This window comes from Homo sapiens, chromosome 4, assembly GCF_000001405.40.
Source record: "Homo sapiens chromosome 4, GRCh38.p14 Primary Assembly".
In the NCBI taxonomy this organism is placed as follows: Eukaryota; Metazoa; Chordata; class Mammalia; order Primates; family Hominidae; genus Homo; species Homo sapiens.
This window is the reverse complement of record NC_000004.12, coordinates 161,085,099-161,101,186: the sequence shown is the minus strand read 5'-3', so window position 1 is coordinate 161,101,186 and position 16,088 is coordinate 161,085,099. Positions and strand designations below refer to the sequence as shown.

General features: G+C 34.3%; 1 long non-coding RNA gene across 1 annotated transcript in view, besides 2 other annotated features; it reads left to right on the top strand.

The window, feature by feature from the left end:
- LOC105377514 (uncharacterized) overlaps positions 1-16,088 on the top strand; it is a 58,262-nt gene that overhangs the window by 23,707 nt on the left and 18,467 nt on the right. The window lies entirely within an intron of this gene.
- Positions 4,339-4,561: a silencer, noted in NCBI's record as "fragment chr4:162017778-162018000 (GRCh37/hg19 assembly coordinates)". NCBI's record gives its function as "represses an EF-1alpha promoter that drives an FKBP-Casp9 reporter gene in an ReSE screen in K562 erythroleukemia cells {active_cell/tissue: K562}" and the evidence as "EXISTENCE:reporter gene assay evidence [ECO:0000049][PMID:32094911]".
- Positions 10,342-10,511: an enhancer, noted in NCBI's record as "experimental_75306 CRE fragment used in MPRA reporter constructs". NCBI's record gives its function as "activates a minimal promoter by MPRAs in K562 erythroleukemia cells, with activity observed for both the introgressed and non-introgressed 4:162011913 variant alleles {active_cell/tissue: K562}" and the evidence as "EXISTENCE:reporter gene assay evidence [ECO:0000049][PMID:34662402]".

Below are 16,088 nucleotides of genomic sequence, written 5' to 3'. Positions count from 1 at the left end.
CAAAAATATAAAGCATTTAGGAATCAATCTAACAAAACTTTTATATGATTAATATGTATAACAGTCTAATGAGAAAAATCAAGTAAAAAGTGAAATATTTCATTTTCATGAATTGGAATACCTCAATATTGTTAAGATATCCATTGTTTCTAACTAGATTTAAGGATTAAAGACAATCTGAATAACTACTCCAGAAAGATAGTTTACAGATATTAATAAAATGACTCAAAAATATAAATGGAATGGCACTTCAAAATGATTATAGTTGGGAAAGCTAAAAAAAAATGAGCAAGAGTCAGCATAGCATCGTGATTAGGATCATGGACCCTGAGCCCCACAGTTGAGGTTTGAATCTGGCTCTTCTGCTTACTATTTTACCAGGGCTAGTTAGGCTTTTATCACTTGGAGGCTACCAAAACTGAGTAGACAAAAAGCTTATTATATTTTTGAGGGGACTATCTTTTCTAAAGTATCTGAAAGAAAACATGACAATTAGGATCTAAAACAAAGCTTTTGTCTCCAGATGTCTCTGCATCAAGTGAGCTTTAGAAAGTTTCTCAGAACCCACAAAGTAGGTGGTATGGTAAGGCTTTGTCTCCCCACCCAAATCTCATCTAGAATTGTAATCCCTGGGTATTTAGGAGGAAACCTGGTGAGAAATGATTGGATTAAGGCAGTAGTTTCACCCATGGTGTTCTCATGATAGAGAGTAAGTTCTCACGAGATCAGATGGTTTTACAAGGCAGTTTTCCCTGCTCTTGCTAGCATTCTCTCACCTGCTGCCATGTAAGATGTGCCTCTTCCCCTTCTGCCATGATTGTAAGTTTCCTGAGGCCTCCTCAGCCATGCAGAACTGTGAGTCAATTAAACCTCTGTCCTTTATATATTAAACAGTCTCGGGTATTTCTTTATAGCAGTGTAAGAATAGACTAATACAGTAGGTATTTTATGAAGTCCCTTCAGATAGAGCAAAAGTGATAAGGAAAAAGAAAGAACTTTAGGAGGTCAGAGTCAGGGTCTTTGGAGAACAAGGTTTCTAGTCCTGAAGAGAGGGCCTTAGAAAGAAGTTTCCTGCCTCCTTCTTCACTAACTTTTCTGCCAAGAGACATTTCAGAATTTCAAAATTTCTATAGATCAATATTGCTCTCCTTCTTCATTTATCCAAGTGGAGGTATTCATTGTAAATATATTTTTCCTGTTCCAGCAATACCAAATGAATATAAGATTGACTGTAACAAGAGGGAGCAAACTCATGCCTTTATTCCATAAGGGTCTAAATCAAAGGGGTACCATCTGAGCCTGAGGAGGTGGTAAGGACACCCACCCCAAAGTTCCTGAACTTTAAATTTGATGCAATGATGTCATTACTGAACTGGGCTTTGTGGTTTTTTTCCATTGGGGATGAAGTGAGTATATTTTACCTTTGGTCATAAGAAAAGTGGATTGTCATTGGAATTAATTCAGTTCATCAAATATTTTCAACTTTGCTCTCTGGGTATAAGGATGATCTTCTTAGCTTTATTAACATTGGGTGGTGCTGAAAATATGATATGTACTTTAAGATATGAGAATTACTTCTGGGCCAGAATATTTAATTGCTGGTTTGAGATCCTTCAGAGTCCTCTTTTGCTCTGTACAGCAACCAGGAACATGCAAATTGTTAATCACCCCAAATGAATTAAATGAGCATAAACTACTTATATGTCACCAGATATCACATGCAAAAAGGTATTTATCATTTTAAGCAACTGATAAAGATTTTTTTTTTTTGCCACAGCATAATCTGGCCTATGCTGATTGATATAGGAATGATAGAGAGATGACAGGTAGATAGATATATTTCTATTTAGATATGTATATGCATGTGTATACACACACATAGTTAATTCAGTAGAAGTGTATCTATATGCTTACATGTAGGTATGTTTATAGATATAGGTATGTACATATTTTTAAGATTAAAAATTTCTAATATATTTATAGCTCACCAGAATTATTTTTTAGAGAGAGAATGCAGAATTCTTCAGAGAAAGACCTGTAAAACTGCTAGAATTGTGCCTTGCAAAAACAGAGGGTAAGGGATTTAAAGCATAAGTGTAGACACTGGACTCTATAGCTGTCTGGAGAGTTTATCTATAACAATGTAATGCAGCTGTGAGGAAAGAGAGAAGTGGCACATTATGAACTAAGCAGCTATTGCAGGGAGCACACAATGGCCTTGATAAGAACAGTGAATATAGAGGTGAAAAAAGTGGCTCAAGAACTGTGTGGGAGGAAATTTCAGAAGTTTGTAGAAGTTGAGTCTATGTGTTGGTACAGAAGTACTTCAAAGTGCTTCTGAATTTCTAGTATAGGTGACTGAGAATTTGTAACATTGTTGATTTAGGTTAAACACAAAAGGAAGACAGGTTTGGGGTGAGAAAGAAGGAAGATAAACAGTGTACGTGGAAAACATTCAGCAGCATGAAGTATTGCTGGCTGAATAGAACCAAACAATCAAGTTATTCTGAAGATGAGCTAAAATGACTAACACTATTCATTATCATCAGGCATATTACATAAATTTCATTGATTCTTTCAAATGAATGAATAAATTTCTTTCTACATGTTTTACTTCTTTAAATTTGTTTTATAATCATTGAACAAAAACAAATGCATAAATAAATCTAAGTATGTTACTTTTTACTTTTCCTTGCTTTTTAACTGTTTTATACCCTCTTCACTCCTTCTCTTGTAAAGCTAGTTTTCATTCACCCTTTTTTTCTAACCATCAGAATAATCACATAAGAACAATTATATTTCTCAATGTATAAAATATCAAAAAATCAGAGATTAGGAACTTTGTCCAGTTCACAGAGGTAACAAAATTCAGAGGATGATATCAAGCTCAAATCTGTACAATTCTAGATCCCGTAATGGTTAACAGTAAGCTGTGCAACTAAAGGCCTCACAATACTTTTTATTTTTATCATTAAGAAAGGCTTCCACTAGCATTTAGCCATTTATGCCATCTTGATGAGTGTTTACAAGTTTTCTGCAAAGTTCTGCATCACTCTGAAAAGCAGCACATACTTCATTGGATAAGAAGCTCTTCATCTAATCACTCCAAGAGCATTACTTATCATATGACAAGGCAGCTATTGTCTCCATAGTTTCTATTATCTTACCACAGCTGTCTTGTTGGAAACAGCTGCCTGTATCAAAAGTAAAGCCAAGACCATAGCAAACACATTTACTTTTGCTCATGAAGATATCTTGTTCTACTGTCATAATGAATGACAATTGTATTAACATTTGGATAATGAGTTTTTAGACTTAATGGAACTGATGTGGTCTAGGTGTTTATGTCTTCTTAATATATCCCTATGAGTGCTTCTTAAAAATAGGATTCTTCTAATATCATCATAACCATTAACGCACATGACATTTTACATTGTAAAGTGTGAAGAGCTTTTTTACCATAAATCTCACTGGAGAATGTAGAACTCACAACAAACCTCTGAAAGCTTTTATGTAGGTAAGCAGCACACGTATTTGGAGATGAAGAACAAATAATTAATTTTATCGGCAGAATATTTGCCTTTAAATTGCGGCTGTATGTGAACCATTAGGAAAAGCAATCACCCTAAGAAGACTCTTCTTTTTGAGTTAGAAGTACAACAAACAAATTTGTGAATTAAATCAACTAAATAATAAATTTTAAAAAAGAAACAAAAAGAGCAGCTATACGAATGGACAGGTCAAAAATTAAAACTTTTCCAGTGTTATTCTTTTATAGAGGTAGCTTCATTTTGCCATTTTCAAATTAATCTTCACATTATTATATATTCATTCTCATATTAAACATGTTATGTTAAGCAGGCAAACATCCAAATCTCATATTAATATTGAAGCTGACAGAGAAATCTCAGAAGAAAATTAGTATACTATGTATGAGTATCACAGTATGAAACAATCAATTATACATTTAAACATGAAGAACAGATAGTCTAAAGGTCTATGTGACCCCATGCCACTTATCTCCAGAATAAAACCAATAAATGTTAAAAAGGTAAAATTATATATTTTGGAAGATAACCAGTAGTGTTGTGTTTAGTTTGGTGTTTCCTAATTTAGGGAATAAGAAATAAATTCACATATTTGGAGATTTTCTGTTGCACAGGAAGACTGAAACATTTTTTTCACAAAATAAAATCACAATATGGGCCAGGCGCAGTGGCTCACGCCTGTAATCCAAGCACTTTGGGAGGCCGAGGCAGGTAGATCACGAGGTCAGGAGATCGAGACTATCCTGGCCAACATGGTGAAACCCTGTCTAAAATACAAAAAAAAAAAAAAAATTATTAAAATACAAAAAAAAATTAGCTGGACATGGTGGCAGGCGCCTGTAGTCCCACCTACTCAGGAGGCTGAGGCAGGAGAATTGCTTGAACTTGGGAGGCTGAAGTTGCAGTGAACGGAGATCTCACCACTGCACTCGAGCCTGGAGACAGAGATTCCATCGCAAAAAAACAAAAACAAACAAACAAACAATCCCCCTCCAAAAAAATATGACCTACGGTAAAGAATACTTGATCTTATAAGCTCAATTTCTTGTTTTCTTTTTCTTTCTTTCTTTCTTTTTTTTTTTTTTCTGTAGCTGGGACTACAGGTGCACACCATGCCCAGCTAATTTTTTGTATTTTTAGTAGAGTTGGGGTTTCACCATGTTGACCAGGCTGGTCTTGAACTCCTGACCTCAAGTAATCCACCCGCCTCAGCCTCCCAAAATGCTGGGATTACAGGTGTGAGCCACTGTGCCTGGCTAGCTCAATTTCTTTCACACTATTTTTTCTAGGTTTTCTTTCTTATCATTGATGAAATTTATGAAAATTTATTATCATTTAACTATTCCTATAAGTAAATTTTATTTTTGTAAACTTTGTTGATTAAATAAGAAATGATTTGCATAGCATTTTACTCAAATTTTAATTTGTAAATAATATTTTAAATCACAGTTTCTGAGTATTTTCATGATATTTTCCAGTGCATTTTGTATGCTAATTTTACTGGTGTTTAAAATACTTGATTTACTACACCAATAAATATAGAATACGTTAGGGGTAATTGTGGGGGAAATATTCTTAAATTGTTACTATGTTATACAATTTCATTAATACCTTTTATTGGTACAATATTTCTAAACTTTATTCACATTATTATTAATCATGTATCTATAGGAAGATAGAAGTCAAGTTTCATTTTTAAAATATTTAAGTGCGGTTAATATGGTAACATTTATTTCAAAAGACAATGACTTTCCTGGTGCTATCCAATGCCATTTTAATCACAAATCTATTCTCCCTATGTGAGAAGGATAGCTTCTAGGGTTTATATTCTCTTTTGGTCTCTTCATCCTGCCTTATACTGAAAAGGCACTGTTTAATAAATCTAACTTTATCCTAGGGCTTAGTAAACAACATTTTTCTCTGCAAAAGTAACTTAGCTACATTTGGCCCTCTGTCTTTTCATTTATTGTTTATAATTACCTCATCAAATATAACCACTAATACATTAATAAAAACCATTAGGATGTTGACTGATTACATTGCATCTATGAGGTAGTTATGGAAGTATTCTTATCTTTACAATATTGAGTTCCCAATATACAATCAAATCATGGTATGTTTCCCTATTTATTTAAGTATATACAAAATTTCCTGCAATGTTTTCAATATATAGATATCTTAAAGACTTTTTGTTACATTTATTTCTAAGTACCTTTTCAATGATATCTTTTAAAATAACATTTAATAAATGTTTGTATTTAAAAATGTAATTTAGGCAGAAATGTAACAAACTAAATTTCTGCTTGTTTTAATTTGTGGATATATATTTTGAATTTTCTATTCACATAGTTATAGTACCTGCTAACATGGTCCTTTTATTCCTGTTAAAATTACAATTCTTTAAAAACTGTAATGTTTCATATACTCAATTAATATTTAGTAGCTGTGATGCTAGTGAGTATCTTTGTCTCATTTACGATCTCTGATAGACAGTTTAAAAATTCACTAGCAAGTATGTTTGCTGTAGTATTTTCTTAATAGAAATTCTATATCAGATGAAGAAAATGACAGCCTATTTATTACATGGCTTTCTGTATATGTTGAAATGTTTCTGATTTTTGTTTTCTTAACATGATAAATTCTCTAATTACATTTTAACATTCATAAAAACTTAGCAGAGAATGAATAAATCCAATGTATAAATATATTCCCTCTATTTAAAAGGAACCACATTCTTTATATTCTATTTAGGGACATTTCATCTATGTTCGTGAACAATTGACCTCTAATTTTCCTTTCTTGTAATATCCTTGTCAGATTTGATAGCAAGTGCATGATGGACTGAGAAAACACATTGTGAGAAATACTTCTTTATGTTGTTTGGAGGAATTGTTGAAAGATTTGCAGTAGTTTTTCCTTAAATGTCTGTTGAATTGACCTGTGAACAAACTGAGCCTAGAATCTTGTGAAAAGGTTTTTAATTAAGATTTATTTTACTTAGACCAGGCACAGTGACTCACACCTGTAATCCCAAAACTTTGGGAGGTCAAGGCAGGTGGATCACTTTAGGCCAGGACTGTGAGACTTCAGCCTAGCCACAGAGAGAGATCCCATATCTAAAATAATAATACTAAAAATGATAATAAAAATAAAATGATTTATTTTATTTAAAAGTTGTAAGACTTTATATTTTCTAATTTTGGACTGTTTTTGGTAGCTGTGTCTGCTAGGAATAATCACTTTTATTTATATTTTAAAATTTATTCATCCAATTTTCTTTATATTTCCCCTTACCTTTATTGCTTTTAGGATATATTGTGATGCCTCCTTTGTCATTAGATATTATGTCTTCTCTTTTTTTGGTTCCTGATCCATACACTGCATTTTTCATTAAATTTTATTATTTTTAACAATGTTTCTTTAGTTTTCTTTTTTATATTGCTTTTATATATTTTAGTTAGATTACCAGACTGTAATCTACTTCTACTTCCTACTTTTCATTCATTAGTGTTCTTTTTCTTATCTTATTGAGAATTATGCTTAGGTCAATGACTTTAGCCTTTCTTCCTTTCTAACATATGCAGTTAAGTCTCTCAAATTTCTTTGGGCCTTGCTTCTTCTCAAGAAATTTCATTGCTTTTGCTGTATTCTATAATTTTTAGTTAAGTTTTTATTGATGTACAATATTTATGCAGTAAAGGGCTTTGAATTTACTTATCTTTCATATAGATATTCCTTTTTATAAATGTGTACATCCATGTCAATATAATACAGTTCAGAATATACAATATTTCCAGAATTGCCAAAGATTCATTTGTACTGCTTTCTAAGCAATGGGGCCTTACAGAGATAATCAAAATAGTTTGATTTCTACCACTATTTTGCATGTGTGTGTACTGGAACTTCAAAAGAATATAATATACTCTTTTGACTGTATTGCAATCTAAATTTTCTCTTTGTGCTATATAATATGTGTGGATAATACAATCATGTGTTAAAGTTACACTCAACTACCCTAACTCTGTTCAACTTCCTGACCTATATATAGTTTTGCTAAAAATGTATTTAGACTCTCCCATAAATATATTTCAAAATAGTATTTTTTTTAATCTAAGAGAATAAAATTCCTTTAAAACTTTTAAAGTTTCCTTTAAGGCTGTGTGTTGTCATTTTTTCTTTTTTTAAAAAAATCATTTATTAATTTAGAACAATGGTCCCAAGAAGCACTTATTCAGCCTCTAGATAGAACATTGCTTCATGGCAAATTCATGAAAACTCTGAGGTGCTCCTATTTAATTATAGGTCAGCTTTCTCCTTTTAACCTCATATTGATTAGACTGTCATTCATATATATTTTTAGATTCACAAGGTTATTAAAGTGTTAACTGAAGCTTAGGTGGGGGCTACCTTCTGTATGTAACAGTGGACATTTTAGAATTTGCTACATGATCCCCTTGGTAAGCTGTTATGTCGTCAAAGGCAAAAGTAAGTGCCTTCCCTTTTAGAACAGAGCCATTATTTGGTGATACTTTTGTCAGAATCAAAATAAATCTGTCAAAGTTGAAGAAATCATACTTGCCACAAACCAAATTGAAGGACTTATTTGAAATAAGTTGTAAAATAGGCAGTGGGGAGGGGTTTGATTTCTCCATCAAGAAGGTGATACACTTTAAATCACATTTCATTGTTAGACAAAAGTCAGAATGCCATTCTAAGCAGCACTGAAACCTTTTTTGTTATTTTGATGGAGAGCTCTATGCAGCTTATAAATCAGATATAAATTTAGTGTACAAAGGCAGACCATATAACCTCTTCACGTATCCAATGTGCTGTACAAGAAGAACAAAATGCCATCAATCTTCAAAATCTATAGTACTGTAAGGTAAATTGCTAGTGCCTCATTCCTGCACTCAGATTTTTCATTTCAGGTGCCAAGGCAGTAAAGTCTATAAAGAGAGCATTATTCAGAGTCTCTTATTCCTATTCTTTGTCAGTTCTTTATAACTTTTATCCAAAACTTACTACCATCCTCCTTCCTGCCTCTAGAGCTATACTCATTATCTCTGATTCCAAATTACCGAGTGAGGGATCAAAAGTCTGCGGCTGAGGCAGAGCAAACTGAGATTTCAGTGTAGAGCACAGCAGACACATAACTAGGGTGACCATGAGTCCCAGTTTGCTGGAGGCAGGTCTGTTGAATACCTGTTGTTCCAGGGTCCCAGCTGTCGCTCTTTGTCCCACATCCCCTCAGTCTGAAAAGTGCTACCTATGGTTTAGATGCTGGTTGTATATAGCCTCCCTAGCCATAATCTGAAATTTCTATGGGACCCGTGACAATTCCTGAGTCTGATATAGAATTTATTAATTAGGTGCTTGAATTAATATATGGACAACCATTCTCATATATAATATGAATCATGGATTCTATTGGAATCTTTTCTACTTTTAACAGTTTCCTGTTTCCAGATGAAAGAATAATGAGACAGCAGAATGTTTTTCTTTATGTTGCATGTACTTCATTATTAATAGAAAAATTCCTATAAACTTCAGTGGGATATATTCTTAGTAATTTTTTAGTTATGTTTTATGTGTTTATATTATCAGGCATGCTGAAAAATAGATTACAATCCTGATGAATTTTGGATAACAAGTAAATTTGAATTTTATTTTTGAAATATTAATATTGATAGTCACAGAAAAAGCCATTATTTTCTTAAATTAACAAAGTTCTTATTTCGTATTTAAACATTATTATATTTCAAATGTATGTGATGTAATTTACATAATTAGCTATATATATTTATAGTGCCAAATACAAATTAAACTATAGCTAACTACATTCATATAAAATATTTAAGTAAACACCAAAGAATAAAACATTACAATTCCAAAAGTTGCATAGTTTTCCTACAGGTGTTTAATAACATACGTTGTTGTTCTTAGGAAAGCTAAGAGTGTACAATAGCAAAATGCTATAAGTGAAAACTATATCATCAACATTCAATGATATTGAATTTAATATACCAACTAGGTATTTCTAAAATACCCATGTAACACCTCTAAGTCTTTTCTTGAATAATATACTTTCTTATCCACTACAAAGTTTTTGTTTTAATGACTTCTATCCAGTGCCCAAATCTGAGAAAGCAGGGAGGCCTGAACATGTGAGAGTGTGAAGCCTACCTGTACCAAGTGACAGGTAGGAGTTTGTGGACTTGCCCAACAAGGAGATGAACTTAATTGGCCAAATCTTCCCGTTAATTAAAATCATGCTGAAGTCAATGGGAATTGCTTCAACTTAGGGCAACATTAAATGCTAGATATTGATGTTCCCTCTTCACTACTGTAGCTCAAACATCAGTCCTGGAAAATACAAGGGAGCGTTTTTAACCCGCTGCATATACACACAAAGCTAAAGTAACCAAAGCTGTTCTGATGGAAGAGTCAGGGCATAAAAACTTACCCTCTGAATACATAAGATAGTCCCATTCCCAAAACATATTTTTGCCATGTAAAATAACATGTTTTGCTCATCTCTCTACTTTTATCTACCATCTCCATATATGTGTCTCACCTTGTCGCTCAGGCTGGAGTGCAGTGGCGTGATCTCAGCTCATTGCAACCTCGTGCTCCTGGGTTTAAGCAATTCTCCTGCCTCAGCCTCCTGAGTAGCTGGGATTACAGGTGTGCACCACCATGCCCGGCTCATTTTTGTATTTTTAATAGAGACAGAGTTTCACCATGTTGGTCAGGCTGGTTTCGAACTCCTGACCTCGTGATCCGCCCACCACAGCCTCTCAAAGTGCTCGATTACAGGCGTGAGCCACCGTGCCAGGCCTCAGCTTTTATTCCATTACAGATATTATTGCTTTTTATCAGTCTCCTTGAAGTTATCTCTCTTTTATACCTACCTTCTACTCCCTAGTGCATTTTTTCTTACATATTTAGCTGTGACACTTTCACTCTAGGTTTTCCATTCTTGTGGTGTCTCAGAGAATGTCCCTTTTGACATCCTTATCCTATTCCTATCTCTGTACCAGCAATATTCCACTCTTGCTTGTTACTCAGTGCTTCCTACCCAATGGCTTTTTTATGTCTTCCAACTCTGGAGGGCATGGAAAATCCATTCTGTTTTTCAGATTAAGCCACAGTCTGAGGCAGGCACTCTGACCCTGGCCTCAGGGAGAGTGATCCCCTCAGTGTTCCTGCCCTTCCTGTTCGTCCTGTATTTCTGGCTACAGATTTTGTTCCTGCCTCTCTCCCAAAAGTAGTCTGTTTTCTAATTTTACTCCCTTGTCCCAACTGCAATAGATTTTCTTCAGTGTCCTAAGGACTGCAGTGTTTGTTTTCCTTCCCCTAACAAGATGAAGATTTTTGGCCAGGTGCGGTGGCTCACGCCTGTAATCCCAGCATTTTGGAAGGCTGAGGTGAGCAGATCATATGAGGTCAGGAGTTTAATACCAGCCTGGGCAATATGGCAAAACCCTGTCTCTACTGAAAATGCAAAAATTAGCCAGGCGTGGTGGTGCATGCCTGTAATCCCAGCTACTTGGGAGGCTGAGGCAGAAGAATCACTCGAACCTGGGAAGTGGAGGTTGCAGTGAGCAGAGATCACACCTCTTCACTCCAGCCCGGGTGAAAGAGCGAGACCCAGTCTCAAAGAAAAAATAAACAAATAAATAAAAATAGAAAGAAAGAAAGATTAAGACTTTTGTTCCATAGGATAGATAGGGAAGGAGACTTAGGGTGACTTTCTTGCACCTTACTCTTGGCTGCTTTTCTCCCCTCAGGCCTAAATCACAAAAACAAAACAAAACAAAAAACATTTTCTTTAAAAAGTGAGGAATTTGGTTTGAAAATTTTAGGAATTAACTTTAGCTTTGAGTTCCAAATTAGAAACTCTGCTCAAATTTGAAGCGAAGGCACCAATTAGTTATCCATCAAAGATAGAGATATAACAAAGAATAGGGGTACTATTCCTTTTGTTTACACAATCCAAAAGTATTACTTGATTAAAATAAAATGTATTTTTATTTCCGGAACACTCTATTAAGTAAAATCATTTAAGGAATTACCTGGTATAAATTATAGTCTAAAATATCTATGTGATTTGATAACTTAATTATATGAAAAAATTAAAAGTGTGATAATCAAGCTATAGTTTCTGTCCCTTATTGAAAATGTATATTAAATAAAATATTTTCTTTGTAGGTGTTAGATTCCTCTTATTCATATATAGATTGCACATCCAAAAAAATCTTGTCATTGGTCTTTTTAAAATCTTGTGAGAAAAAATAGAAATGTCTTTTAAAGTATTTTATTTATTCAACATATACTGAACAAATAATTAGTGAGAACTTATAAGCCACATTTTTCTATGTAGAAGGATTTGAATCAGTGAATAACAAGAATACAAAGGCAAAACATCTACTGTCATTTGCCCAATTGTATTCTAGTAAAAACAGAGTGAAAACAAACAACTAAACACAGAATATGATGTCAGATATTGATACGGACTATGTAGAGATATAAAGGCAGAGTAGAAGAGGGTGAGAGTAGGAAACGCTTCCATTTTAAATGGAGAGATGATGCCAGAACACTCTGAGGATTTGTCATTTGAACAGATATGAATGAAATGAACGAGAACATCAGGAGATCTGTTGAAAGAGGATCCAAATACTCTAAGGCAGGGAGGTGAATGTGGCGGAAAAAGTGAGCAAGGCAAAAATTTTAGAATATAAAATATTTTAAAATATTGTACTTCATTTTTAAATAACATGTTTACCATGTTAATATAGCTTTTTGCATTTTTAATATGTTATTTATTTGTGTAGATTTAGGGGGCAGAAGTGCAGTTTTGTTACATGGATATATTACACAGTGATGAAGTCTGCGCTTCTGCTGTAACTATCACATGAATACTGTACATCGTACGCAATAGACAATTTCTCATCCCTCCTCACATTCCTCCCACCCGCCTATCTTTCTGAGTCTCTGATGTCTATTATTCAGCTCTGAATGTCAATGCATAGTCATTGGTTAGCTCACACCAAGAAGTGAGAACATGTGGTATTTGACTTTGTTTCTTAGTTATTTCACTTAGAATAATGTCCTCCACCTCCATCCACGTTGCTGCAAAAGACATGATTTCATTCTTTTATATGACTGAGTAGTATTCCATGATTTATATGTACCACATTTTACTTATCCAATCATTCATTGATGAACACTAAGGGTGTTTCTATATCTTTGCTATTGTGAATAGTGTTGTAATAAACATACAAGTACAGGTATCTTTTTGATATAATGGTTTATTTTCCTTTCGGTAGTGGGATTACAGGATTGAAGGGTAGATACATTTTTAATTCTTTGAGAAATATCCATACTGTTTACCATAGAAGTTGCATTAATTTACATTCCAGCCAACAATGTCTACGTGTTCCCTTTTCTTTGCATCCTCACCAGCATGTGTTCTTTTCTGACTTTTTATAACTGCCATTCTGACCGGTGTAAGATAGTATCTCTTTGTGGTTTTAATTTATGTTTCTCTGATGATTAGTGATGTTGAGAAATTTTTCATATGTTTGTTGGCTATTTGTATGTCTTCCTTTGAAAATGTCTGTTCATGTCCTTTGGCCACTTCTTAATTTCTTTTCTTGTTTAGTTGTTTGAGTTCCTCATAGTTTTTTTTTTTTTTTTTTGAGACGGAGTCTTGCTCTGTTGCCCAGGCTGGAGTGCAGTGGCGTGATCTCGGCTCACTGCAAGCTCTGCCTTCCGGGTTCATGCCATTCTCCTGCCTCAGCCTCCCGAGTAGCTGGGACTACAGGCACCCGCCACCACGCCCATCTAATTTTTTGTGTGTTTTTAGTAGAGACGGGGTTTCAGCATGTTAGCCAGGATGGTCTCGATCTCCTGACCTCGTGATCTGCCCATCTCAGCCTCCCAAAGTGCTGGGATTACAGACGTGAGCCACCATGCACAGCCGAGTTCCTTATAGATTCTTGATAGTCCATTGTCAGAGGCATAGCTTGCAAATATTATTTTCCATTTTGCAGGTTGTCTGTTATTTCTTTTTGCCGTGTAGAAGATTTTTAGCTAAAATGAGTACCAATTGTCTACTTTTGTTTTTGTTGCATTTGCTTTTGAGAACTTAATCATAAACCCTTTGCTTAGGCCAATGTCCAGGAGTTAGAAAATAATTATTTTACAAAATAAAATCTTCTCATTTAATCTTTATAACAACCCTAAAAGGTAAAGCTATTACTTATTTACAGATGAGAGCACAGAGACATGTTAGACATTTACCTAAGGTTGTATATCTTGTAAATGTGTGAAACTGGATTAAAATCCAGACACTCTGACTATACAATCTGATATTAGCCACAATACTATGTACTGCTTCAACTGTTCTTATGTGAGAAACATACATTCACCTGTCCAAACCCAAAGAGTAGACTTGGAGACACAAAGAACAGTGGAAGCGAGACTTTTAATGGCGGTTTTGCTAGATTGGGTGCCTGGTAGGCAGGCACACCTGGGGCAGTTACAGCAGGTAATTTATCTCCTAGCTCATAACTCCCTCGCCCAGTTCCTCATTGGTCGAGTACTATGGGTTTACAATCTTCCCTGACATCACCTAAGTTTTATTATCTCCCTTATAAGGTTGTATCCCTGTCCCCTTCCCCACTTAAGGTTCAATTTCCCAATAACAAAACTTTCTTTATTGTCTGACCCCCTCCTCTACATTCTGTTTGCTTATCGTGACCTTCTAGGTGCATGAGCTGTGCAGTTTGTTACATCCTCGGGCTGGCTACCTGTACTTAGATTTATCATGCCTTGAAAATTTAGAAATTAAAATGTTTTCTCACAGGTAATCCTTTTCTTTCTTTCTTTCTTTCTTCTTCTTCTTCTTTTTTTTTTTTTTTTTTTTTTTTACCTACTCACTAACTGCTCTTTTCAGGTAATTGTTTTATTAGAGCCTCTAAGACTAAGCTCATTACTTTCATATACTTGCAATATACTCTGTAGTAACCAACCTCTTCACACTCTTTCAGGTATATCTGAGGCCCTAGTTCTCTTTGCCAAAACAAACATCACATTTTATAACTGAAACTCATATTTCTGACGAACTTCAGCAATTTTTAATCACCTTGTGCCTTTTATTTTGAAAGTTTACTTATTTTCTTACTAATTTTGTTTTCATTCATTAAAAATTACAGTTTTTCAAATATACATATTTGAAATATAGTTTTTCAAATATACACAATTGAATTTGAGTTCTTTAGCATTCTAGGAAAAGAAGAAACATAGACATGTATATAATTTTTTGTTCCTAAAATTAAAGAAATTTAAAAGTTTCATGACACATTTGGAAAGAGTACTTCATCTAAGGTTTTATGAGCAATGAATGAGAAGTGGAAGACAGAGAAACTAAAATGGCATGGGTTCATGAAGGAATATTGATACAATGCAATACAGCAAGCTTTGAAGGATCATAACTGAAGAATGAAACTTTTAAATCTGGCTCAGGCTGAAAATCATTACTGGGTGATACATGGCTTAAAAAGAGAGACGGTTGGTTTGAGAAAATCATTAAAGTGCGTTTTTGCCATACTTCACACTTGAGATAATAGGAATCTGACATACAAAAGCCAAGGGGATATAGGAAGGAAAGGTCCTGAAAGCTCAGGACTGCTACAATCTACAAGTTTCAGTTCCATTTTAATCTAGAGGAAAAGTGAGAAACAAAAGGTCATGTTATATTTCTATCTCAGGTAACATGAGAATAAAATAAATTAAATGTCTCAACCTGACTAATTTTCCTTTCTATTATACACTAAATTTTCATCTAGAAATTTGGTTTTCTGACTCTATTTAATCCTGTTTCTACCACCTATAAATATCACCTGTTCCAATCATACTCTCTACCAAATATTAATGTGAAATTAATCTAGAAATGTGTTAAACCGCTTATAGGGCTAGAGTGTGTCTTTCAGGTGGTAGTAAGGAAAGAAAACCCAATTTTTTTATATATATTTTTTTATTATTATACTTTAAGTTTTAGGGTACATGGGCACAAAGTGCAGGTTAGTTACATATGTATACATGTGCCATGCTGGTGTGCTGCACCCACTAACTGGTCATCTAGCATTAGGTATATCTCCCAATGCTATCCCTCCCCCCTCCCCCCACCCCACAACAGGCCCCAGAGTGTGATGTTCCCCTTCCTGTGTCCATGTGTTCTCATTGTTCAATTCCCACCTATGAGTGAGAATATGCGGTGTTTGGTTTTTTGTTCTTGCGATAGTTTACTGAGAATGACTATTTCTAATTTCATCCATGTCCCTACAAAGGACATGAACTCATCATTTTTTTATGGCTGCTTAGTATTCCATGGTGTATATGTGCCACATTTTCTTAATCCAGTCTATCATTGTTGGACATTTGGCTTGGTTCCAAGTCTTTGCTATTGTGAATAGTGCTGCAATAAACATACGTGTGCATGTGTCTTTATAGCAGCATGATTTATAGTCCTTTGGG